Here is a 27,355-nt window from a genome sequence, read left to right as displayed (position 1 = left end):
ATTGTAGACATATGCACATACATATATAAAAATTCAGATTTTTCAATTTTATGATAGTATTTTATCTGATTCAAGTAGAAACTATCACTAACTCTTTCTAGGTATGCTTAATCTAAGGCTTACCAAAAATTAAAGAAAGGCTCATTTGAGATGGTTTAGATTTTTATATATTTACAGTATTAAATTTTATGCTATGCTGTCTAAATGGAATTTTAAAATTCTATGATGTTTACAGTTCAAATTTAATGATTATAATTTTATTTATATTATTAAAAATTTCTAAATAGTGGGTTCTCTCTGTCTCTGTCTCTGTCACACACACACACACACACTTACTTCAAATGAAGGAGAATAGTGGGAGCATTTGAACTTTCTCTAACGAAGACTCTTTATGCTGGTCCCAAACTCCTATCCCATTATGCGTCTTTAGGTATATCTTCCTTCATAACATCAAAATGTTTTTTCATGCAAGTAGTTGATGCCGTTCATGAGGTAGATTACTTTCTCATAATGATAAATTCCACCCCCAAAATCTAAAATAAGCACACCACATATCCATAAATACAGTCATAAGCTTATGAAAATCATAATTCTTCTGGGCAGTCATGTCTACTACATAATTCTGAAACAATACTGAATAATTTTCTGTTTGCACAAAATCAGTGTTCTATCATTTTCTTGGTAGTCTCTCTTTTAGATGCATTTTGCATGAAAAATGCAAAGTCTAGGCCGAGCGCAGTGGCTCATGCCTGTAATCCCAGCACTTTGGGAGGCCAAGGCGAGTGGATCATCTGAAGTCAGGAGTTGAAGACCAGCCTGACCAACATGGTGAAACCCCGTCTCTACTAAAAATAGAAAAAATTAGCTGGGTGTGGTGGCGGGCGCCTGTAATCCCAGCTACTTGGGAGGCTGAGGCAGAAGAATAGCTTGAATCCAGGAGGCGGAGGTTGCAGTAAGCTGAGAGTGTGCCACTGCACTCAAGCCTGGACAACAAGAGCAAAACTCCTTCTCAAAAAAAAAAAAAAAAAGAAAAAAAAAAGAAAGAAAAATGCAAAGTCTATTTTTTGTGGGCTTTTTTGGTGAACAATTTTTTTTTCAAATTTATTTGTTAAAATTGACGCATAAAATTGTGTATATTTATCATGTAGAACCTGTTATTTTGAAGTATATATGCATGTGGAATGATTAAGTCTAGCCAATTAACAAATACATTACCTCACATAGATATCTTAGTATATGCATGCTGTTGTAGTTTCTTTAACTAAAGGATTGAGAATTGTGTAACTGTATCACTATGTACTAATTTGTGTGTGTGTGTGTGTGTGTGTGTGTGTGTGTGGTTTATGAAGCCTCTTACAATGGTGGAACTGATTCTATTGTTTTAAGCCCATCAATACTGATCAGATAATTTGTTTTTAAAACAACTAGATCAGCTTGTTGTTTATTAGATAATTATAACTGTCATCTGATTGTAAAGCACACTTGACACAGACCTTTAACATGCACTTCATAAATGCTTTGTCTAATTCAAATATTAAGGAATTACCTTAAGAGAAATAGTCCTCAAAAACATGTTATTTAGGTTCCAATTTTACAAGGCTGAATCCTTTTATAGGTATGACCTCCCAGACAATGAGTGGAGTTGAATACTGATAGTCACATAGTTCGTGCTCTACAATTAAACATAACTTGAAGTTTTTTCTGAATTTAATATAAAATATATCAGTTAAATTTAAACTCTAAAACCACGATCATCTTTGAATATAAATGCTATCTTTAAACAGAAATAATGACGTATCGATACATTACTATATGCACCGTAGGAATCTATTGGTGTTATTTCCTCCTTCCAAAAGGGGTTTATTAAGTTCCCTTTCCATTTAAAGCTCCCCAGTAGGTATCAAGGATACAAAAGTAATGAAATGAGGTTCCTCTCCTTGGGTGGATGGAAATGCACAAAAGCAAGTGGAAATCAGTGATCAAAGTGATGAATACAGGAATGATGACTCCAGGATTTCAGACAAGGCGATGATTACTTCTGCTTTCAAGGCAGAATTCAGAAGAATAGATTTCAGAGAGGTGGTCTCTCAATCACTTCTTGAAAGAAAAATAGAAGCTTGCCAGTTGCAGGAACAGAGGCAGAGAGCACATTCCAAAAAAAAAAAAAAAAGTAACAGTCTTGGGAAAGACAGTGGTATAAAAGACCATGGTCTGTTTAGATAATAATAGGGGACTATTGCAGAAAAACAACAGATAGCAAAGGGTCTTGAAGGCAATCCTCAGAAGTTTGGGTTCCATTGTAGCAATACAATTACCAGTAAGTTATTAAAATACAGAATTTATTATACCAAAACAATTATCAAATATGATTTCTTTGGAGTTGCACAGCCACAGATACACTAAATTATAATACTAATAGATGACATACTGAATCTGTTTTGTTGTTATTAACTTCATATATTTGACCATATTGACAGTCATAATAATTGTCTTAACATGACAATCCTACTTCCTTTGGATTATAGCATACAGTTAAGCATATATTTTACCTATCTATGTAAACCAACCATGTAATGTTGGATAGAAGAAGAGGGAAAGGTCATCACCTCTCTCTACTGACACAGATATCCAAGGCACATTCAAGGTAGCATCCTGGAACCAGCATCCAGGTGCTTCCCCACACATCTTCCCCTTAATCTCAGGAGCAGACCGTGGATGGGACAAGTCTCGGGGTTCACAATGCAGGAAGTGTGTGTGTGGGTGGGGGGTGGTGACAAATATGGCCACTTCATTTTCAAAACATCTGCTAAAAGTGTTTATTTGAAGCTAAATAAGTATTCACTACAAATCAACTTCAGAATACCTTTTGTGTGGGATTTGTCTTGAGGGTAGGAAAGAGGCTTCAGTCATTTTAACCTTTTTTCGATAGTGTTACTTATGTAGTCACTTGTCTTACACATGCATATAGGCTAACGAAGACACACCTATTATAGCATTTTTCATCTGAATTAGATCGATGTCGGAAGTAACCAGTGATTTTTGAAGGGGCGCACGAAACTCCTAGCTTATTCTGCCACCTTGTGGTTAAAACACAAATTTCCATCACACCAATAATGTAACAAGTGTGTATTCTCTACCTCAAGGAAATTAATCCCTGTGTTTCCTAAACAGGAACCCCTAAGAAAATTGGAGTTGTGTATATATTTTCTTGATAAATAGTCAGACATTTAAGGCAAGATGATGCTTTCTTTGAATTGCTTGACTTCAGTTAAAAGCAAGTGATGGGGAAAAAATAATCTTTATAGTCCTGGAACACATTTAAAGACAGGAAACCAGTATAATTAAGCACTCCAATCAGAAAAGGAGCAATTGTGGGGAGAGGAGATGATTGCTTTCACAAGGGGTTCCAGCCACCATCTGTAGGCTTGCACTTTGAATGGGGTCTCAAAGATTATTCAATGAAAGTAGCTAATGTCTACAGACTATCTAAAATGCATATTTTCTCTTTAACACTGAGTTGTGGTCTAGATAATTTCACTAAATATTGTCTGTCTCTACATTGATTCAAGTGTTTTGTCCTATACTTTAAATTTCTTTTAAAAATTGATTTTAATCTCTCACTCAAAGTATTTTTCTCATAAATAAAAGTGTTTTTTTTTTTGGCTCTGGTTTGCTTCTAGGTTAGTGTTTCAAAACTATTTTTGAACCAAGAGACATTAGTTTCATTATCATATGTTGGATACAAATATCAATTAACTTCCCCAATTCTTTTCCCTCAGGTAGTTCTTGCTACTATTCCACTTTTATATCATCCGTGTAATCTCTGTTATAGTTTGCATTCCTAATTTTTAAAAAGCTGTCTCATAAGATATGAGTTTCTCTATCTTTATCTTAATTTCACAATATGTCTTATTCATAAACTACTCCAATTTTCCCCATATGGAAATATAACTGAATAACACTTTGTGTTAAATATTAAACATTTGCCATGGCTGAAGGAACAAATCTGGATATCATATTATCTCCTGAGTTCTATACTCATTAATGCCTTAAGACCCAGAGCTTACCAGTCAACTACTGAGGCCAGAAAATTTGTACTCTAGACTCTCCTTTTTCTTACCATTCTGAGATGAGGGACATCATTGAATTGAACTACTCTTAATTTCTTATCATTTGTCTTCACTTGTGTTTTAGAAGAGATCTCACAGCCTAAGGTTAATAGCTAACTTCCTGACACCCGATCTAGTTTTCCTTCTGCCTGTTTTACTTTGCTTTCTTCGGCATATGTGCATGCATCCTGGGGGTACACAAAGACTCTCTCTCTCTCTTTTTTTTTTTTTTTTGATAGAATCTTGCAGTCACCCAGGCTGCAGTGCAGTGGTGCAAACAGGGCTCACTGCAGCCTCGACCCCCTGGGCTCAAGCAATCCTCCTACCTTCTAAGTAGCTGAGACTACAGGCTTGTGCCACCACTCCTAACTGATTTTTTCTTTTTTAAAATTTTTTCTACACAGCGGGGCTTTTCCTATTGCCCAGAATAGTCTCAAACTCCCAGGCTCAAGCAATATTCCTGTCTCAGTATCCCAAAGTACTGGGATTACAGATGTGAGCCACGGTGCCCAGCTGCAAGGTCTCTTAATTGAAGTTTAAGATCAATTTAATTATTCTTCTCAAGTACTTGCCTACCTTTGCCTAGAGGAGGATTGTAAGAAAGTGATAATGCATCTAATTTTGCGAAGACATCAGACCCACTATTCTGGCTTAATTATTTAAAAACACTTTCACTCTCAACCTTCTCCTGGCTGGGACAACATATTATATTATACTTAGCATACATTTCTTTTTTCTTTTCTTTTTTTTTTTTTTTTTTTTTGAGCAGGAGTCTGGCTCTGTCACCCAGGCTGGAGTGCAGTGGCATGATCTTGGCTCACTGCAACCTCTGTCTCCCAGGTTCACGCCATTCTCCTGCCTCAGCCTCTCGAATAGCTGAGACTACAGGCGCCCGCCACCACGCCCGGCTAATTTTTTGTATTTTAGTAGAGATGGGGTTTCTCCATGTTGGCCAGGATGCTCTCGATCTCCTGACCTCGTGATCCACCCGTTTCGGCCTCCCAAAGTGTTGGGATTACAGGCGTGAGCCACCAGGCCCGGCCACACTTCTTATAGTGAGAACTATTTCTGTCTCCATCAATATCAGGTTTGGCCACGTGACATGCTTTGACCAGTAAAAGATGAAAGAAAAAGATCAATATGGGTTCTGAGCTGAAATTTTCAGCGCCATTGAGAGTTTCTTAAAGATCTTATCATCTCTTCCCTCTACCACAAGAATAGCATGCTTCTTGCTCTTGGAGCTCATTCCAGAATCCAGGCTGAGGAGACATTGGGGCTTTCTCTTCAGCCTGGGTTCTGGAACGAGAAGCATTCAGGAAGAAAGCAGATTAACAGCTATTAATAACTGGCCACCATGTAAAATGAATGACAAATGCATGCTGTTAAGAAACAGCAAGATTTGGAGACCATTTGGCCAGGCGTGATGGCTCACACCTGTAATCCCAGGACTTTGGGAGGCTGAGGCGGGTGGATCACTTGAGGTCAGTAGTTCGAGACCAGCTTGGCCAATATGGTGAAACCCCGTCTCTACTAAAAAAAAAAAAAATACAGAATTAGCCAGACGTGGTGACATACACCTGTAATCCCAGCTACTTGGGAGTCTGAGGCAGGAGAATTGCTTGAACCCGGGAGGCAGTGAGCCGAGATCGCACCATTGCACTCCAGCCTGGGCAACAAGAGCAAAATTCCATCTAAAAATAATAATAATAATAATAATAAAAGATTTGGAGAATGTTTATTATCTATGCATAATATAGAAAAAGCTTTACATTTTCGTTTATGTTCTGTTATCACTCCTTCTCCCCATTCATAATTCTGAAAAGCAATCCTCCTAGGTCTTCTAACTTACTGTTGTTTCACGGACAATTCTAAAGCTATTGCTCACATATATACTGAGAAACTAGACCTTTTAGGAAGTAGCAACTCTAAAACTACCTGAGAGAACTGAAAGAAGGGGAAAGAAAAGAAGCACGGAGGGAGGGAGGCTGGTAGGAGCAGCATGTGCCATTGCATCTCTATTTCCTGTTGTAGATAAGCTTGGCCATCATATTTGTCTTCTTCCCTTCCCCTTCCTTTCCTCCTTCTCCTTCTTCTTCTTAACATGCCTTACCCTATGCATTTTTTTCTCCCAAATCTGAGTATCTACTCAGAGACAGAATATCTGAGTATTAGTTTATTGATAAACTAAATACACTTATAGGAAAATTAGCATACTTTTGTAGAAATGTACATTCAAAACCAAATAGGTTGTAAGAGTAGAACCTTATATGAAATCTAGTCAGCTCCTAATCATTCTGACCCTAATCATTGTAGGTAAATTAGAAGGCCACTCAGACAGCAATGCAAGCTCCAGGATTCTTCACACATTCCTTCCGCTCTCTTACCACCAGATGGCTCTCCAAGCCAACGTGGTCAATAAACCCTAACACCCTGGAAAATGTCAGTATAATACCAGATTTTTTCCTGAAAGGGATTAAATGATTATTTCTTGGAATACCACATATTCATTCATTCAATCATTGTTCCCTCATTAATCCATCAGCAATTGAAGGTTTGAATGAGACTGCCACAGAGTTTATTTCATAGTAGAGTAATAAAATGTCTACAACTATTACTTTAGCCCCTGCCACACAGCAAGTATTCAATAAGTGTCACCTATAATTAGCTACCTTGGGCCATACAAGAACATTCTAAAAGAATATTTTCAGTCTCTTGCCTCTCTCTTTATATGTTACTTATACCCAGAACAGAGGGTAAACAAAGATGATCTGGGCTGCAGATAAAGATTTAGGAGCCATTTAGTGCTATTACATTAGTACTTTGAAAGTCACAGATATGAAGGAGGTGGACCAGAAAGAATGTTAAAATAAGAAAAGAATCAAGAATAAATCCTAGGACCTACTAATATTTAAAGGTTAATAGGCTGAAAGGAGCCTAGCAGAGAGATTGATGCAGAGCCAGCCAAGAGTTTAGAGAACAATAAGGAAAAATAAGTTCTCCTCACACCCAAAGGCCACCGGCAAGGAAATTTCTGCAGGGAGAGAGTGATGGTCAGTGTCGACTGTTCCAGAAAGATCAAGTTAGATACAGACAAGAAGCACTCGCTGGAAATTCAGTTATTGGTAACTTGAAGCATTAACTATGGCATAATGGAGTACTAGTCAAATTGAAATGAACCCAGGAGTGACAGGATGTGAGGAAGTCAATAAAAATGAGAACGAGTGATAACCAGTAATCGAAAGGAGGTTAGGAAAATATTTTCTTTTGTTTAAGGTGAGGAATGACTGCGCATGATTTTTACACTAAGGGAAAGAATTCAACAGAAAGAGTCTTATGGTATGGTAAAAAGAGAGGGTAATACACTATGATGCAGTTTATCACTCATTGGAATGACACATTTTGTCTGATGACACATCCTCTTGACCAGAGTGTGGGGAACACCTACTCTCATGTGCTTACGGGAGTATAAATTGGTATTGCCTTACAGGAAGGCAATAGTGCATTATCTTTCTTTCTTGTAAAAAATGCACAAAAACCTTTGTCAATCATTTCCATTTCTAGAAATCTATCCTGTAGATAAATTCAAATACATGTGAATTAATATATATTCAAGATTGTTTGTTTGTACTCAAACACAACTGGCATATCCATCAATAGGCAATGATTTAATTAATTCTGATACACATACAATTAAATAGCATGCAGCTTTTAGAAACAACTTTGGAAAGATCTCTACATATTAAAGTTTTAAATACTACATAATAATATGTATAATATACTATGTGTAATAAAAAGGGAATCAGAATATATATCCATGTTTGTTTGTGTATAAACAAAGAGACTATGGCAAAGTTAAAAAGTAACTAAAAATAATGGCAGTCTGTGTATCAGTGTGGCAGTAGGGAGGATTGTGTGAAAATTGGGGTAGAGAGGAAGAGCGGTGAATAGGAGACCTTCCACTGCATAACTTTTTATTCTCTTTTGAAATTATATATGCTTCCTTTTCAAAAATGTGAAAATATGCATTTTTAAAATATAAATATAGGTAAATTGAGAGCTGTGAATGAAGAAGTGAGAGTATGGCTGTATATTTTTAAAAGCATTTGATCTAGTGGAAGGAGTACTGAGCTTTCTGACAAGTAGAACTTATGTTATCTTTATTTAAAATTATTTTTGAATTATTTTAATTATACTAACAGTAAACCACATTATCAACTCAATCATCAATTGCCAGGTTTCAAAAGCGGTTGCAGTGAAAAATTTAAGGTATGGAAACCTTTTTTTTTCTTCATATGCATTGATCATTTCTAGAAGGAAAGCGAAGGATCTGTTAATACTGGAGGAAAGAAACTTGGAGACTGAAAGTCAAGTGTGGGACAGAAACTTCCTTTTCCTTGTTAAAGCTTTGTAATTATTTCAGGCTATATATGCACAGTATATATGACCCAGTATATTTTATTCATGAAGTAAAATATATTTTATTCATGAAGTAAAATATACTGATGCAAAGTTGCAAAAGATGTGAATATGTGAACACATCAACCAAATACCTTTAAAAATGACTACATACCAACTAGCTAGAAAGTTGCATGAACATTTTATGATTCTTTTTATGGGATATTACCCAAGAAAAATGTTGTTTCAACCCAAAGACTATATTCACGTTCACGAACCTAGGTTTCAGTCAAATCAATATTGAATAGGACAAATACTTGGATATAGTGTTTTGAACATATAAATTGTACAACACTGAGAATATTATTTATGAATATTTGTAAATCTATATATAGAGAGAATCCTGAGATAATGTTAGATCATTTCAAAATGGCATTGGATATTATGGAAAAATAAGACACTAAGGATACGAATTGTTAACAGTTAAAGGAACGTCTGCTCAGCAGCCACAAACATTGTTGGTGGTTGAGAGGAAATTTGCATCTTTATAATAAGTGTTATATGAAAAGCAGAGCTCCTTTCACATGCCAGCTCAGCTATTCAAGCTATTCTTATCTTCTATCTGGAATACTGCCTAGTAAGAATAGGAAATTCTTCATTCATTTTGGCAATTATATCTGCCATGTGCAGGCAACACAGAGCATTGGCGAACATTCAGAATGCCCGAGGACTGGATTCATTGGTGGAGGACAGTGAGCATTGTTCAACAGTGCAGGAAGCTCTGCTGGCTTTCATAATGCATGAGCACTGGTTTGGGCTATTTTTCAGCCGCTTGTGTTGACTGCATGCATGCTGCCATGAGCCATGAAGCCACTCCTCTCCAGGCTGTGTTTGGAAGGGGAAATCAGCAAACAAGGCTCGGAGAATTTTACATTTAGTAGAGCCAACCTCTTTTGCAACCAAAAACACTCAAGAAAAAAAAATAGTATAATTGTGTCCAATCATTCATTTGAATTACACAGAAACATTTCTCTAAAATGGGAAAATGCAGTAAAATATGTGATTCCATATTTGTAAAATGTTCTAAATGTTGAAATTCTTTTGATAGACAGCAAAGGTACTTTAAGAACAAAAGCATGTTTCCTTAGATTCCATAAAAGTTCAATGAGTAGTTCATAATACTTAAGTGTTTATTTTAAATGTGTTCATTTTAGTGTCTGTGTTTGAATTTGCTGAATGTATACATTAAGCTACAATTTTATGGAAAACATTACAGTTTCATAAACACTCACACACAGACACATACACATCAATAGGTTAAAAGGTTTTTTGGTGATAATAGTGTTTATAGTGTTAATACACTGTAACACTTGACTCCTTGTCCAGTACTTTCCAAAAGGGATTAAAAACTCACAGTCTTCAAACCCTAATATAGACAAGGACCAGTACAGATTATTTTAAAAATGCATTGGACCCCAGAGAACCAGAGACTGTGTCCAGCCCAAAGGTTTTAAGTTTTAAAAGAAAAAAAATGATATTGACCAAAAGAAATTTTCAACAGTTCAATCCTGTCCACCAATGTGCTATCACATTGTGCCTTATCTACATTCTTTAAGAAGTATTTTGAAAAGAAGAGACTGCAATCCAGGCTGTAAAAATATGAGAGAAATTCATTTGACTCCTCCACCCCCGCACACCACGTGGATCTCTAAGAGAAATGTGCCTTTTGGAATTGAGGCCCCAAATAAAAGTTAAGCTCTGTAATCTTCCCCTGGCTTTCCAAACAAATAGTTGAGTTTTCTCTGTGAATGTGGTCCTCAGCTTCAACCTGCCTTATTCCTGCTGCTCCTCTAGAAAGCTATTCTTTCTCTGTGTTCCCCACATCCTCTGGTTCATTTTCCTAATGGCCGTGCTGCTCCCCAACATTGGGGTAAGTGTGTTGGGATCATAGAAGTGGTGACTAACGGTCTAGAGAACAAAAGGTTTTCAATCACAGTTGTTGTCATCAGCAAAAATAGTCAGAAGAAGTTCTGAGTGATTCATACATATAATTGTGTTATACCAACATTATTTTATCCTAAAACTTTGGAAATAAAAGGATAAAAATGTTCATTTCTTGGGGATATTTTAGCAATATAATTTTGCCAGAGCAGTATTGAATTTTGCTTTTAAGTTTCATATAGATTAAGCAATAACATTACCTTTAAAATCACTGTTATAATGAAGTTGGCATATCAACAAATCACACAATAGTCTATGTGCACAAAGAATGGGATTTTTTTTTTTCCATGGCAAATTCAGGTTATTTTTATTAACTTTTCTTCAATGTAAATGCTGGCTCTTACAAGGCAACATTCTCCTTGGCTTATGTAGGTCAAAAAGTGACTTAATCGCTCTATAAAAGATGTCATTATAAATTGAATTACTTCTCAGTTATGTAGTGAGTCTTGTGAATTTACTAGGGTGTAGGGGGAGGTGAAAGAGGGAACTTTCATGAGAAGAATAATTTAATTACTTTTTCTGTAACTGAAGGTATAGTGTGAGTTCATGGTAATCATCTGAAAGTTTTTTTTTCCCCTCTTGCTGCTCCTTGGAACATAAAGATTGCTTTTTAAAAATATGGTTGAGCATATTATTTTTTCTCCTTAAAAATATATTAACATACTTCTATTTATAGATATATAGATGTATTATTACATAGTTTAGTTATTTTAAGTCATCTACTAGTTTTCTATGATAGAATATATTACATTTTATTACATTAATGTTTTCTCATAAAATACGAGACTGAAAGTTCCACAGATCTGTCAGAACAGTTAAAAATGGCTTCCTACACTTCATTAAATATACTGTTGGTTTGTTTGCTGATATTTCCTTTTGGCTATTTGTTATCTTCCATGGGGTTTTCTATCGTCTCCTAGAATTTCACAGATCAGTAATCTGAAATGAGATTTTGATGTTCAAACCTCAGGTTCTTTGCTAGATATTAAATATTCCATGTGAAGGTCAGGTTAGGATTGATTCATTGTGCTTGATACAAACAGCAGCTTTCAGTCCCTTTAAATCATGACTTTTTCTGTTTCTCTTTTTATGCATAATGGGCACTTTAACTCAGAAGATCTGCTTTCTGCATTATGGAAGAAAAGCAATTCATATTTTTCAACGGCTTGCATTAAAATCCTACACTGTGTATTTTGTTTCCATGATATTATTTATGTTTAGAATTGTTCATCTCTGAATGTCTAACACCAGGTTTTCCCTGTAAGTTCTCAATCTTTTGTTTCTGTTCCTTCAGTGCAATGCCAATTCTTTGTTTTGGAATGTATTATTCTATTGTGATGATGGTAATTAAAGTCTATGTGATAAATATTTCCTGTTTAGAAAAAGGAAATTATCTCTAGGATATGTCTGGTTTATTCCTTTTTTTAAGATCAATAAATAGTAACAACTCGAATATGTAAAAAGGAATTAGATATAGCATAAAGAATTCTAGCAGCAGAAGTTTAGTTGCACAGCACGTAACGAGTTCGCAGGTTTGGGAGAACCAAATTAGTTACTGTATGTAAGATCCTTTGCAAATTGTAAACCAAAATAAATAGATAAGCTATTCTAATTTTAGAAGTAAGGCATAATCACAAAAAAATGGTGAATTCAATATAGCACAAGACTTATAATTGATTTTTAAATACAGCATAATACTGGGTCTTTTTTCATAGTTAATAAAATCTTGGTGGGAATTCAGCTCATGCTAGCTATATTCACGTATAAAGTAGAATCACTTCGAGTTATCTCTTTTTAATAATTCTATGTGATATAAACAGATTATTTAATTTCTCTGGGCCTCAATGTCTTCCTGAAAAAGTGGGTTGCACCAGACGATGTGTAGACATTACTATCAGTTTTCTTTCTTTTTATTAAATTAAGTTCAGGGGTACATGTGTAGGATGTGCATTTTAGTTACAAAGGTAAACGTGTTATGGGGATTTGTTGTGCAGATTATTTCATCATCCAGGTATAAAGCCCAGTATCCATTAATTATTTTTCCTGATTCTCTCCCTCCTCTCACCTTTTACCCTCTGATAGGCCCCAGTGTGTGTTGTTCCCCTCTGTGTGTCCATGTGTTCTCATCACTTAGCTCCCATTTCTAAGTGTGAACAGGCAGTATTTGGTTTTCTGTTCCTGCATTAATTTGCTAAGGATAATGGCCTCCAGCTCCATCCATGTCCCTGAAAAAGACATGATCTTGTTCTTTTTTATGGCTGCATAGTATTCCATGGTGTTTATGTACAGTATTTTCTTTACTTAGTCTATCATTGATGGGCATTTAGGTTGATTTCCTTCTAGCTTCTGACACCTCTCTGGTCTTGAGCTAGCTTTGCCAGTTGAATTTTGATATAATTTGCCAGTATTGAAGCTTAAATAAACTTTTATATTTAAGCTCTATGGCCAACCTGTTGAGCTAGGTGTCCTATCTACAGACTGAGTGTATGAATGGGTGGAAACAAGATGATGAAAATTACAGAGAGAACTGAATTAGACAACCAGTTATTTGAAAATGCATATCCTTCGAGAATAGTAGAAAGTAAGTAGAGAAATTTACTAATATATCCATCCAAAGGAATCCAAATTTTCTTCCTTGAGTGAGTAGAGTATCTTATTTAATCTGAAAAATAATGTTGGGTAGTATTTAAACTTATTTTCAATTTACTGATGAAGTTGAAAAATTTGCGATCATTTAATTGTCCATTATTTCTAAGTGAGCAGCACACTAGGCCAAATTTCTAACTTAAGTTTTTGTGAGCCCATTAAGAAGTCTAATATCATAATTAACTGCTGTGTGTTTTCTTGATTATACTCTTCTTTTACCTCTGCTCTATAATATGAAGGCTCTAACAAATCTTGTGTGTTGTGCTGATGGTCATCCCGAGTATCTTGAAGAGTCACTGATATATAGTGGGCACATAACACAAATTTGTGAAATTAAAAAAATGTGCAGATTTGTTAAATGCTTTGATTGAAAATCATGCATCTCAATTATGATTTTGAGGAACTCAGGCACCCTAGTGTCTCAAGGAGACAACAGAAACTTCTAAGCATCATTTAATTTTAATTCATTTTAATTCCAAAGTAAATACATGATGTTATTTTCTAGGAAGTGTTGGAATGAGGGTCTTAAAATCCAAAAATGTCAGAATACAGTATCCCCCAAATCTTGGAATCTTTGTATTGAGCCAAGAATAACTTGTATAATTTTCATTTCTTTTTCAAGACTTCTCTGTCGCATAGACATTTCATACCTTACACATATTTTTTCTCCCAAATTAGTGTAGATAATTTTTCCCTAGGATAAAATGACCTAATCACTGCAACATTTTATGAGATGGCTAGAATCATAAAGTAGTTTAAAATATCCTCCAACTTGACCCTTTCAAAAAAAAAAAAAAGAAGAAAGGATGTTCAAAATAACCATGTACTCCAACATGAAAATCTGGTGTGGATTGCAAGGATGTGTATATATTACCATATATTAGTCCATTCTCATGGTGCGATGAAGAAATGCCAGAGAATGGGGAATTTACAAAGAACAGAGGTTTAATTGACTCACAGTTCCATATAACTGGGAAGGCCTCAGGAAACTTACAATCATGGCAGAAGGCACCTCTTCATGGAGAGAATGGGTGCCGAGTAAAGGGGGCAAAGCCCCTCATAATACCATCAGATCTTGTGAGAACTCACTCACTGTCATGAGAACAGCAGGACGGTGAGCACCTCCATGATTCAATTACCTCCTATCCGGTGCCTCCCATGACGTGGGGATTATGGTAACTACAATTCAAGATGAGATTTGGTGGTGGGGGGACACAGCCAAACCATGTCATATCATCTTAATGCCCCCATTTCCTAGATATACATTCTTAAGTATTACATATTCTTTGTAAGCATCAATAGCCTTTCCTATTTATTTGTTTGTATGAATGGTTGGTTTTTTTTTTGTGATTATAGTAGTTCATATCTCAGAAGTTGCATGTGATGATAAAGACTTTGCACCATGCCTGATATATGGTAAATATTTAATGACTGGGAAGAGTAATATTACACTGGTAAGTACGCCTGACAATGGAAATCAGAAAATTTATTATTAATAAGAAGCAGAAGTATCAAAATATTATCCAATATTCAAATATTATTCATTATTTCACAGAATCACATTCATATGTTTCATGGAGGGGGGTTAAGATTAAGGAAGAGTCTGACATTATTCATGAAGCTGCAGTACCTTTCAGAAACCAAGATGTATTGAGTGCTTGTCACACATCCAGCTTGTGTTAAGTGCGGGGTAATGTTAAACAGAAATATGCATGATTTGGTAATATATATAAGGAAGATAAAATTCAATCAAATGAACACACAAATGAATATTTAGCTACACATTGACACATGTATTAAGGCGGAAATATTTTTAAAATGATAAATTCAAGACTGTTCCTAGAATTATAGAATGTGACAATGCAGGGGATGAAGTTTTAAAATAATGATGTTCTGAATTTCCCCAATTTCTCTGAATACCTAACCCCATATCCCAGCAGCTTTTTTAGACAGGATACAGTCTTTAAGTTTGAGGTAAACATTTTAAAATGAGCATAAGCAGGAACATTAAAAAGAGAGGTGTTTAAACTACAGCAAATGTGATTTAATTCCGCCATAAATATTGCTAAGCACTGAAATTTGGCTGCCTTCCAGAAAAAAAAAATAATAAAGTAGAACCAGCTATAATCCCAGAATATGTTGTTTTTTTCACAGGAAAAAGACAAGTCTAGGTGATTCCTTTAGGTACATAATAGATCTGAATCCATGTTGGAAATTATATCCCTGCCCAAAAATAGTGTTTTATCTTTTTGCAATAAATTAACTATGTGCTCCTACATTATAAAAATTGTTTTTGCTAAGGACTTACTAATGTGTCATCAAATATGCTTATCCTATACCTTGAAAAAAAGCTAATCTTGTCTTCAACTATGAATTCTTTTCAACTGTGTTATTTCTATAAGACTTATACTTTGTTTTGTCAGATTGTATCTTAAATGAAATACATGATTCTAAGAAAAGTAAACTAAACAATTATATGCCAATAAAGCCCACATATTATAAATGTTTGTCTACAGAATAAGAGAATAATGTGTAATTAACTTGACCAGCCTCCAACAAAACCCATGCTAAATAGAAGAAGGTCACTTATTTTGATGAGCAGACTCTAATTGCTTCATTTATATTTTTGATTTTTTCTCAGAGATAATTAGAAAACGGATGCCAGATCCTGCATTCTGTTTTACAATACTAACACAAATTTTAATCAAACGTAATTTCTGAGAATTCCTTTTTGGGGGAATGAAAAGCCATAAGGTTTTTGGTGGAAATTGCTTTTATTTAAGCAATAAAAAAGTGTTAATGAAATTGCTTGCATTCTATTGAGCAATGGTAGTTCAAAGATCTTTGTTACTGAGTGTATTAGTTTGCTAGGTCTGCCATAACAAAGCACCACAGATTGAGGGTTTTAAGCCAAAGAAATTTGTTTTCTTACAATTTTCGAGGCTAGAAGTTTGAGATCAACGTTTAGGCAGGATTGGTTTCTTCTCTGGCCTCACTGTTTGGTTTGTAGATAGCTATCTTCTTCCATGGGTTTTCACATGGTCTTCCTTTTGTGTTTGCCTCTGTCCTAATCTCCTCTTCTTTTTGATTTTTATTATTATACTTTAAGTTCTAGGGTACATGTGCACAACGTGCAGGTTTGTTACATAGGTGTACATGTGCCACGTTGGTTTGCTGTACCCATCAACTCGTCATTTACATTAGGTATTTGTCCTAATGCTATTCCTCCCCAAGCTCCCCACCCCCCAACAGGCCCCAGTGTGTGATGTTCCCCTCCCTGTGTCCATGTGTTCTCATCGTTCAACTCCCACTTATGAATGAGAACATGCATTGTTTGGTTTCCTGTCCTTGTGATATTTTGCTGATATTTTGCTGAGAATAGTAGAGTGAGCCCTAATCCAACATTACTAGTTTCCTCTTCTTATAAAGAAGCTAGTAATATTGGATTAGAGCTCACTCTACCAGACTTATATTAGCCTAATTATCTCTTTCAACACCTGATACCCAAACACAGTAATATTCTGAGGTTCCGAATATTAGGACTTCAACATATGAATTTTGAAGGGACCATTCAGCCCACAAAATCATGGATACCTTCCTGAATGTTGCTAAATGTTATATTGTGAAGAAAAATTAAAGCCTGGTGAGTCCATGACACCGCCAGCATATACCACAGAAACACACCCATGTTGTTTCCAAGTAAAATGTGGATATACACAGACTTGCAAAATTAGAAAATTAAGAGATCAATTATTCTTTATGATGAACAATACAATAAAATGGCAAAGTGCATAGAAGGACCACCAAAAACCTCTTCTACACTTCTCATTCCCAAAACAAAGGAAAGCATGCTTGGAAAGATTACTGAAAGGCTCTGAAGAACCTCCACAAAAAATTTGCATCCTCTTGATATGGCCTTTTGTTGTAGTAAGTTGCAGTACTGCTCTTCAGCTATTTCAATAGAGAGGAAAGTCAGTGAACAAAAACCCCTGCCCCCATTTATTTCTAATGGTCCCGATAGTTTGTGTATACCGGGGACTCACATAGAGTTGTTCTCAGAGTGTGTAGACACCTTGGTAGGCATTTATTTGTGGTCTACATTTTTATCAAAGAACCCTCTTCGTAGCTGTCCTATTAGGTCACAAGGGATGTAGTTCTTGTTTTGTACATCATCATGCTCCTCACTCTCCTGCTTTTAATAAACCGGCTAATGTGCTCTAAGCATTATAATAGGAATCATGATCTATCATCAGGTTTGATCCCCTTATGTAAAACAGTGCCAGGGCTCAAGAGGAGCTCTATTATGTATGTTGATTGATTGGGCAACTGACACTTCCAGAATCTAGGTGATGTGGCTGCATAAAGCACTGGCAGTGTGTTGTAACCTGACACAAATTGCCTTCCAGTAACCTCCTATGAACTCTGTAATCTTTCCATTGGGGTTTGGATATTTGGTTAATGGATAACAAATTCACACTCTTTCCTACTTGCCAGTTTAAACCTTTCACATACCTAATATGTAAGTTGCACATATGCTTTTATGACACTTGAAACTCAACATACTTAACACCAAATTCATCCACTTGTTTTAAAAATTGCTTTGTCTCAGCCGGGCACAGTGACTCACGCCTGTAATCCCAGCACTTTGGGAGGCCAAGGCGGGTGGATCACGAGGTCAGGAGATCGAGACCATCCTGGCCAACATGGTGAAACCCTGTCTCTACTAAAAGTACAAAAATTAGCTGGGCGTGGTGGTGCATGCCTGTAGTCCCAGCTATGCAGGAGGCTGAGGCAGGAGAATTACTTGAACCCGGGAGGTGGAGGTTGCAGAGAGCCGAGATCCTTCCAGCCTGGCAACAGAGTGAGACTCCATCTCAAAAAAAAAAAATTGCTTCATCTCATTGTTTTTCTATTTCTTTTCTTTGAAACTTACTGTTGGCATCTGATGAGTAACTTTTTCTGTTCCTACTTCAATAAACAGATAAATTCTAATTATTTGTCATTTCATTATCTCTTACTTCTATTCACCCCGTTGCTGGTTAGGCATCTTACGATTTGACATTCATATCCTTAAAAATCTTCTAATTGATATTGCTGCCTCCACTTACTATCTATTTCAGTTATTCCTCACTGCTACGAAAGGCTTTTTTTGTAAAGCATATTTCTCATCATAAAATCTCAAAACACTTGCCATATTAAAAATAATTAATATAATAATAATAAATAAATAAACCTGTGATCTCTCTTTCAATTTAATAAAATGCAGATTCTTTATTCATTCAGATAAGATGTTGTCTAGGTGTATTTCCAGTCCAGGCTTAACATTAACCCTCTTAATATAGTTAGTATTTTGGTTTACTTCAGTTAGTTGCTCTTCCACAAATGCCACTGATAGGATCATCCCTCTGTGCATCTACATACACTGTGGTCATGGCCTGTAATTCTCCCTTACCCATGTCTATCATACCCATCATTCAAAGCATACCTCACCTATTAATTCTTCCCTGAAGCTAAATCTTAAAATTACAACTGTAATAACTTCACTGCTCTGTAAACCTACCACTGTATACATTGCTTGCAACAGTCTACCTTATGTTATCATTATTTGTCTGCCTGTATTACCTACCCTACAAGACAGTAATCTACGTTTGCTCTTCATCTTTATTGTCCTTCTTACACCTCGTCTGTAGTGGAGAGACTGTCAAGCCAATGATCGTTACTGCAAAGTATTGTAAGCTTTCCCTGGTATTAGGCAGCCATGTCCTCTTTCTCTCCAAATCATTGGTTTTCAGATGCTAAAATAGACTCCTCTCTTCTTCTCTCTCAGCATGGTCCTTAAATCAGGAAAAAGTTCATCCTGCCTGCTGAGCTTTGGAGAACATATACCTTGCTTTCCTGAACTCTGACAGCATGACATTTAGTTTTAGACTTCTGCTTTGTTCGATCTAAGCTGTGTCTTTCTTATATCATTGTCGCAATTTGGCAATTTACAAGAGATGAAATCTCTTTCTCTTTCTCTCTCTATCCTTCCTCAACCTGCTTCCTCTTACTTTTCTTTGTCTCTTTTTTTTTCTTCGCTGGAAGACTGAAAATGGTCTGAACAGAAGTAGAAAGTCAATTTAAGAAAAAAAAAATATATAGAAAGAAGTTTAATAAATTAAAATGTCTTTGTTTAGAGCTGAATTCTTCAGTTAATGCTGTCTTCCAATGCGGCAAATTCACACCAGTTTCACCTCCATGATAAATTATACAGGAATTCATTTTAATATAAGTAAGAACATAATTGTTAAGGGATTGAATATTCAAAAAGTTTTTTTTTTTCAGGGAGGTATTCTTAGCATCTATAAAGTATTTTAAGAGCTGCAAAATGGGATATACCTTCTATTACAATCATATAACTATTTGCCTTATTGAATGAAGAAAATTATGCCAGAACTTCAGATGCTCTACTAAGTATCTCCGCATACATACACACACACACAGACACACATAGAAAGATACACACACATATGCCCAACTATGGCTTCTCCTTTTTGTGAAACATTATGTATTACTGGTAAAATTGTTGCAGTTATGGATATCTGCCTGTTAACTAGGCAGTAAGAAAAAAATCAAACAAATTGGGGAGATAGCATGAAATACAAAATTTGCATTTTCCATTCCAATACACTAAAGTAATTAAGAGATAAGTATTAGTTCAAATTATGAGTCTGCCAATGGTCACCTAAAACAATACTGAAATATAATGAGCTATCTAAAATAATTGTTAAATTAATTCACTTAAACTCTTCATTGGAAAATGCGGACATCATGTATTTAGTTGTCTATCCAATTTTCAAGCTTAAAAAATATATCTTTCAATTTATTTTTCATAATTTCATATTTGGCTTAAGATTCTACCTTTAATACATTCTTCATAGGAAACATCAGAAAAAATAGGTCTCTTATTTTCAGCATTTTACAAAGCAAATTATGTTTCTAACAAAAATATGAATATATATTTATACATTTATATTAGTCTGGAGATTTACTAATATTTTCTAACTTTATCAACAGGCATTTATTAAACCAAAAATGTTTCCACAAAAGGTTATGCCTTGAAGATAATAAAAATGTATCTTCCAAATCAGAGGGCAAATTAGATATATGTAGAATCTTTTCAAATATAATGCCCTTGATTTAACGTAACCAATGCTACATATAGTATTACATCTAAATTTAACTTAGATTTTAAAATGTTATTGTTATAATTGTTAATTTTTTAATATTAAAAATATGGCCAAGATTGAGAATTTTTAGAGTACTATTGCATGTGAGTTTATAAAAAGACAGTTTTATTGAAACTCAAGAGTCCAGACCTTGGGAGTTCTGTCAACCAGGAGTAAATTTCTTCTGTGCCTTGTAAAGTAAGGCTGATAAATGTAGATAATAAGAATATGAAACTTCCTTCCTAAACCATAAGACGGCCATTTTGCCAAAGTTTATCCTAATTGAAAGGAGTCTTTGTTGAACGGATTGCAGCAATTTCTGAAAAGTTTTTATAGACAAATCCAGACAATAGCCATTGTCTTAAAATACAATGGGAAAAACATGGTTCCATTTATCATCATTTTATATAGTAGACTGAAAACAGATTTCTCAGAGACAATTATGAAGTCTAAACAGACTTTGGGAGTTGCTGCTTTTTCATTTATTTCTTCATCTTCCTATATCATCTTGCTCCTTCGACACAGACCTATCCTCCAACACAGGAGCTGTGTGGTTTTGTTGTTTATAGAGATGAGACAAAAAGACACATTAAAGTGACTTACCCAAGGGTGCACAACATCAATTTCCCTAAGAGTTTTCTGGTAGTTGCCGTATCACTTCATAACATTGTGCTTGTGTGTCCGGAATTGGTAGGTTCTTGGTCTCACTGACTTCAAGAATGAAGCCGCAGACCCTAGCGGTGAGTGGTACAGTTCTTAAAAGCACAGTTCTTAAAGGTGGCGTGTCCTGAGTTTGTTTCTTCTGATGTTCCCATGTGTTCGGAGTTTCTTCCTTCTGGTGGGTTCGTGATCTTCCTGGCTCAGGAGTGAAGCTGCAGACTTTCCTGGTGAGTGTTACAGCTCTTAAGGTGGGGCGTCTGCAGTTGTTCATTCCTCCTGGTGGGTTCGTAGTCTCGCTGGCTTCAGAAGTGAAGCTGCAAACCTTCGCAGTGAGTGTTACAGCTCATAATGGCAGTGTAGACCCAAAGAGTGAGCAGCAGCGAGATTTATTGCAAAGAGCTAAAGAACAAAGCTTTCACAGTGTGGAAAGAGACCTGAGAGGTTGTCACTGTTAGCTCACGCAGCCTGCTTTTATTCTCTTATCTGGTGCCACCCACATCCTGCTGATTGGTCCATTTTACAGAGAGCTGATTGGTCCATTTTACAGAGCTGATTGGTCCGTTTTCACAGGGTGCTGATTGGTGCATTTACAATCCCTGAGCTAGACACAAAAGTTCTCCACCTCCCCACTAGATTAGCTAGATACAGACTGCTGACTGGTGTATTTACGAACCCTGAGCTAGACACAGAGTACTGATTGGTGTATTCACAAACCCTGAGCTAGATGCAGGGTGCTGATTGGTGTGTTTACAATCCCTTAGCTAGACATAAAGATTCTCCAAGTCCCCACTAGACTCAGGAGCCCAGCTGGCCTCACCCAGTGGATCTCGCATGGGGCGGCAGGTGGAGCTACCCGCCAGTCCCGCGCTGTGCGCCTGCACTCCTCAGCCCTTGGGCAGTGGATGGGACTGGGAGCTGTGGAGCAGGGGATGGCGCTCGTCTGGGAGGCTCAGGCCGTGCAGGAGCCCATGGCGGTGGGGAAGGGGCGGGGGGAGACTCAGGCATGGCGGGCTACAGGTCCCGAGCCCTGCCCCGCGGGGAGGCAGCTAAGGCCCGGCGAGAAATCGAGTACAGCAGCTGCTGGCCCAGGTGCTAAGCCCCTCACTGCCCGGGCGGCGGGGACAGCCATCTGCTCCAAGTGCGGCTCGCCGAGCCCCCGCCCACCCGGAACTCGCGCTGGCCCGCAAGCGCCGCGCGCAGCCCCGGTTCCCGCCCGCGCATCTCCCTCCACACCTCCCCGCAAGCTGAGGGAGCGGGCTCTGGCCTTGGCCCGCCCAGAAAGGGGCTCCCACAGTGCAGCGGCGGGCTGAAGGGTTCCTCAAGCGCGGCCAGAGTGGGCGCCAAGGCCGAGAAGGCGCGGATAACGAGTGAGGGCTGCGAGGGCTGCCAGCATGCTGTCACCTCTCACTTTGTATTCCTGTGGGCTTTGCTAGCCTCATTCCACTAAGGTAAGGAAAGGCCTAAGCTTTCTCTACACCGATATATGTTACAGTTAGAGCTATCTTACTCAAACGACTGTGTCCAGCCTTAGCTGTTAATCTCAGTATAGTGTTGTTAACAAAAACAATTCTACACATTTCCTGGACTAAAATAAAGAGGGACATTGTTCAATACAGTCAAAACTGATACTGGCCGTTATTCATAAGTGGAGATCACATGGCCTTGGAAGCATGTATGTTGATGGATTTAAGAATAATAGGAATTGGTTTGACATAGATTTGTTTTTTTAAAAAAAGCCTTTTGTGGATGTAATCATGGGATTACGAAGATTTCTTGCCTAACTTCAAAAATAATTTAATCAGTACAGGATAAAAAACTAATCTTTTAACTGAATTTGACAGATGCATGACAAAGTTTTTTCTGGTTTATTCTAAAAGCTTTGATAGCTAGGGAGGCAACCCTGTTGAAGAATTCTCTTTCACCTCAGTTTGATCTGCAGAGCTGCTCTCTCCACTGAAAGAATGAACAAATTGGCATAGAGACACTCATTTTCTAAGGGTCATCACCATTACTAGCTTTAGTAGTCATGGAATCACATTTGCATTTAATATTTTATTCCCTCAGAAGACATCAATGCCAAGAAATAGCTTTTTGCTCTGCTCTGTTCTGAAAGATGAAAAGCAGGGTCACTAGAACGGTGCCGGGTCAGTGAAAAAGTCATTGAGGTGGTGCTTCGTGAACTAGTTAAGAAAATAAAAATTCTGTAGGGCAGAGGTAGGCAAACATTGGCTAGACTTTGAGGACCATCCATTCTCTGTTACTACATCTCAAAAACCATAGAACAGCAACATTTTGAAAATAATACAGCCATAGTCAATAGATAAACAAATGAGTGTGATAGTTTTCCAATAAAAAATGACTTATAAAAAACAGGTGAAGGTCCACTCCATGGTTTGCCATACCCTGCCTTAGAGGTATGGTGTTGCCAAAACTTGACCAGCCAAGATCTTGCTAAATGTGTGAGTGAGTGGTGAGGGGTGTGGAAGGCTCATCTGAGGTGGAGGAGTGATGGTGGGGGAGGAAAGGGTGATGTGAGAGAGAGAGAGAGAAAGAGAGTTAGGTTATATTCTGAATATGCCAACGTAACAAAGCTGGTTTGACATTTCACATCACACCTTTATTGTGTTGCTAGGTCCCCCTTGCTAAAATGCATACGGTATTGGAATAGATGATATATTAGCCCTTTATCCCCCATTTAAATTTAGCCTCTCTGAAAAAGTGGTAAGTAGGCAAGTATGGAAAGCACCCAGAGCTTCTCAAGCTTATGTGACCATGTACTTCGCTAATATCATTCCTTTCTGTCCTCCTCAACTTGAAAATTGATTAATGAAAAAGGCGTTTCCTAGAGGTTGCTTTGAAGAGTAGACCTTGAATTCTCATTAGTAAAGAGGAGTCATCAGGTCTTCACGGACAGGATGATAGAGGGAGAAGCACGGTGACAGTCTTGCAAGGGCAGGTGCGTCACAGGAGCAATGAAAGAGGAAAACAAGAAAGACATCAACAACAATGGAGCTCAGCACCTCACTGAGGACAAATTAAAACTTGCGGCTGGGGCCAAGCCCGGTGGCTCACGCCTGTTATCCCAGCACTTTGGGAAGCCGAGGCAGGTGGATCACCTGAGGTCAGGAGTTCGAGACCAGCCTGGCCAACATGGTGAAACCCTGTCTCTACTAAAAATACAAAAAGTAGCCTGGCGTGGTGGCGCATGCCTGTAATCCCAGCTATTCCGGAGACTGAGACAGGAGAATCGCTTGAACCTGGAGGCGGAGGTTGCAGCGAGCTGAGATAGCACCATTGCACTCCAACCTGGGCGACAGAGCGAGACTTCTTCTCAAAAAAAAAAAAAAAAAAAAAAAAAAAAAGAGAAAACTTACTGCCGCATGGGATGGCTCACGACTGTAATCTCAGCACTTTGAGAGGCTGAGGTGGGTGGATCACCTGAGGTCGGGAGTTTGAAAGCAGCCTGACTAATACGGTGTAACCCCATCTCTAGTAAAAAATACAAAAATTACCCGGGCATACTGGCACACGCCTGCAATCCCAGCTACTCGGGAGACTGAGGCATGAGAATTGCTTGAACCAGGGAGGCGGAGGTTGCAGAGAGCCAAGATTGCGCCCCATCACTCTCGGGCAACAGATAAAATCAATCAATTAATTAATTAAATTAAAACTTGCCCAGTCATTGATCTTAATGAAGGTCTTAATAAAGATCTCCCAATCTCGGGAGATACTGGTAGCTACAAAAGCTGCCTCTTGTACCTAGTGTAAATTATCTGATATGTCCAATGACAAAACTCACATTACCATAACACAATATTTATTTTCTTATTCTGTTAATGTTTTAATTTTAAAAGAAGTTTCGAATCTTATTCTGTGTTTAATGATCTGCTTGTGGTCATTGTTTTGAAGGAATAAGGGAAAAATTGAATAAGGGGAAAGGTTGTGATTGTTTAATCCATAGACAGTATATACCACAATGTAAAATATGAAATTGAAATATTTATAAGAAATAACAAAAATAGCCTACAGGTTGGACTAATTGTCTTATGTATTATTTTAGCTCATTTAGCTTTAGTTTGCTTTACAGATGTATTTAGCATTCTTTAAATAGCCTAGGACTATTTTTAATTACTTTATAATTTCTGATAGACTTAGCCAGCTTAAATTGTTTTTAAAGACTGGTTTTGGGCCGGGCGCGGTGGCTCAAGGCTGTAATACCAGCACTTTGGGAGGCCAAGGTGGGTGGATCACCTGAGGTCGGGAGTTCGAGACCAGCCTGGCCAACATGGCGAAACCCCGTCTCTACTAACAATTCAAAAATTAGCTGAGCGTGGTGGTGCGTGCCTGTAATCTCAGGTACTCAGGAGGCTGAGGCAAGAGAATCCCTTGAACCGGAGAGGCAGAGGTTGCAGTGAGCTGAGATTTCGCCATTGCACTCCAGCCTGGGCGACAAAAGCAAAATTCCATCACATACACAAAAGTTAATAAAAATTTAAAAAATTAAAGAATGGTTTTGAAATGTAAGCATTTGTTAATGAGTAAACAAGGGATATAGTTGACTAAATATTCATTTTATAATTTTTCATATGGTAAGTGGAATCACAAATCTTTTTTTTTTCTTTTTTTCTGAGGCAAAGGTGAAATTTCGCTCTTGTTGCCCAGGCTGGAGCACAATGGCTCAATCACTGCAACCTCTGCCTCCCGGGTTCAAGTGATTCTCCTGCCTCAGCCTCCCGAGTAGCTGGGATTACAGGCGCCCACCTCCACACCTGGCTAATTTTTGTATATTTAGTAGAGACGGGGTTTCACCACGTTGAGCAGGCTGGTCTTGAACTTCTGACCTCAGGTAATCCACCTGCCTCGGCCTCCCAAAGTGCTGGGATTACAGGCGTGAGCCACCGTGCCCGGCCACAAATCATATTTTTTATACTATTAGTTGCGCTACCATATTTTTAAACTGTTTTTTAGGACAAGGTATACTGTCGAATTACAGAAATAAGATTCTCATCTTAAACCTATATATGCTTAAATTAGGTATTGTAAAAGATAAGCAACAGTAATATTAAAGTAAGAATCAACAAATGATGCAAACTGTTGAATTTATAATAACATAGTTTTAAGTGCCTACCGTAAATAGAATATATTTTGTATTTTGTACAATATCATGCATTCACACCTCTTCCATATGGCGGTATAAATTAGGAAAATCGATCTACATCAATATGTATTGAAATTATAAAATAAAAAATAACAGATATAATACAATAAAATGTTTTCTTTGAAAAGCAAATCAAAAGATGACAAAAATGCTTTTGAAAAATTATTTTTTCATATTTCTGTGAACACTGGTTCTTATTTGTTGATAGTAAAAGCTTTTCAAATTATCGTTTTTCATAAAATACTGTGTTGGTCATTCTAATTGTAGAGAGATGAGATTCGATGATAGTTTCATACAATCAGGTTAGGTAACATTGCTCAGCAAAAATTCGAAGCAAATAAAATTATATTCCTGAGCTATTTATTATTTCTACTATTCTTGTTATATGATTATATGACTAACAACACCTTCTTGGCCTTTAATGGCTATGAGACACTTTATTTTTATTTTCAAATTTTTGATTTTTAAAAATACCAAACCTATCAACTACAACAAATTAATTGAAAAGATTTTATAGTACTTACCGTTTTAAAAGAAAAATATTAATTTGTTTTTAAAATTGTAATAGTAAACTGAATTGCACATATTGAAAGCACCAAAATATAATTCAACTGCCTATCTTTAAAGTTCCACTAGAGGGCAACATGTGCCAAGATTTTTGTCCCTTCGCAGTTTCAAGGGGGATAATCAAATTTTAATCTTTTTTCATCAATAAATGTCATTTACTTAATATTTAGCATCGGTCAGCATTAATTGTTATTTTTATGATGCACATGTGGTTCTTCGTGAATATTGTCTCACTTATAAAAGATAATATTGTGAATGTTGCTCTGATTTCAATTAATCAATACTTTTCCAGTTACCATAATTACAAGAAGACAAAACACAAAACAAAAAAGATATTATTTTATATGTAATGAGTTTTTAAATCAAATAATTTCATATGTGTTTTAAAGTATAAATATGTTAAGGAGTTACAGGTTAACGAAAAATAAAATAAAAAATCTTGGGAGATGTTGGTAGTAAATTTGAAATTCAGTTTTGACAAAATAAAAGCATTTGTTCATTACACATTCTCAGAGACCATTTTAAAAAGAAAAACTGGTTAAATAATGTGTATCAGACGAACAATTCTCAATCTTTTCTGAGAAATAGAATCTGCTTGAAACTTGCAGCAT

The 27,355-nt window shown here is 36.8% G+C and overlaps 1 protein-coding gene and 1 non-coding gene across 11 annotated transcripts in view; one reads left to right on the top strand and one right to left on the bottom strand.

The window, feature by feature from the left end:
- Positions 1-27,355, top strand: part of ROBO1 (roundabout guidance receptor 1) — a 1,170,760-nt gene that overhangs the window by 243,498 nt on the left and 899,907 nt on the right. The window lies entirely within an intron of this gene.
- Positions 16,532-16,614, bottom strand: MIR3923 (microRNA 3923). Its single transcript, NR_037488.1, has one exon. It is a non-coding gene; the product is annotated as a microRNA 3923 (primary transcript).

This window comes from Homo sapiens, chromosome 3 (assembly GCF_000001405.40).
Source record: "Homo sapiens chromosome 3, GRCh38.p14 Primary Assembly".
Classification (NCBI taxonomy): domain Eukaryota; kingdom Metazoa; phylum Chordata; class Mammalia; order Primates; family Hominidae; genus Homo; species Homo sapiens.
Note: the sequence above shows the minus strand (reverse complement) of the source record. Positions and strands in the feature narration are given on the sequence as shown.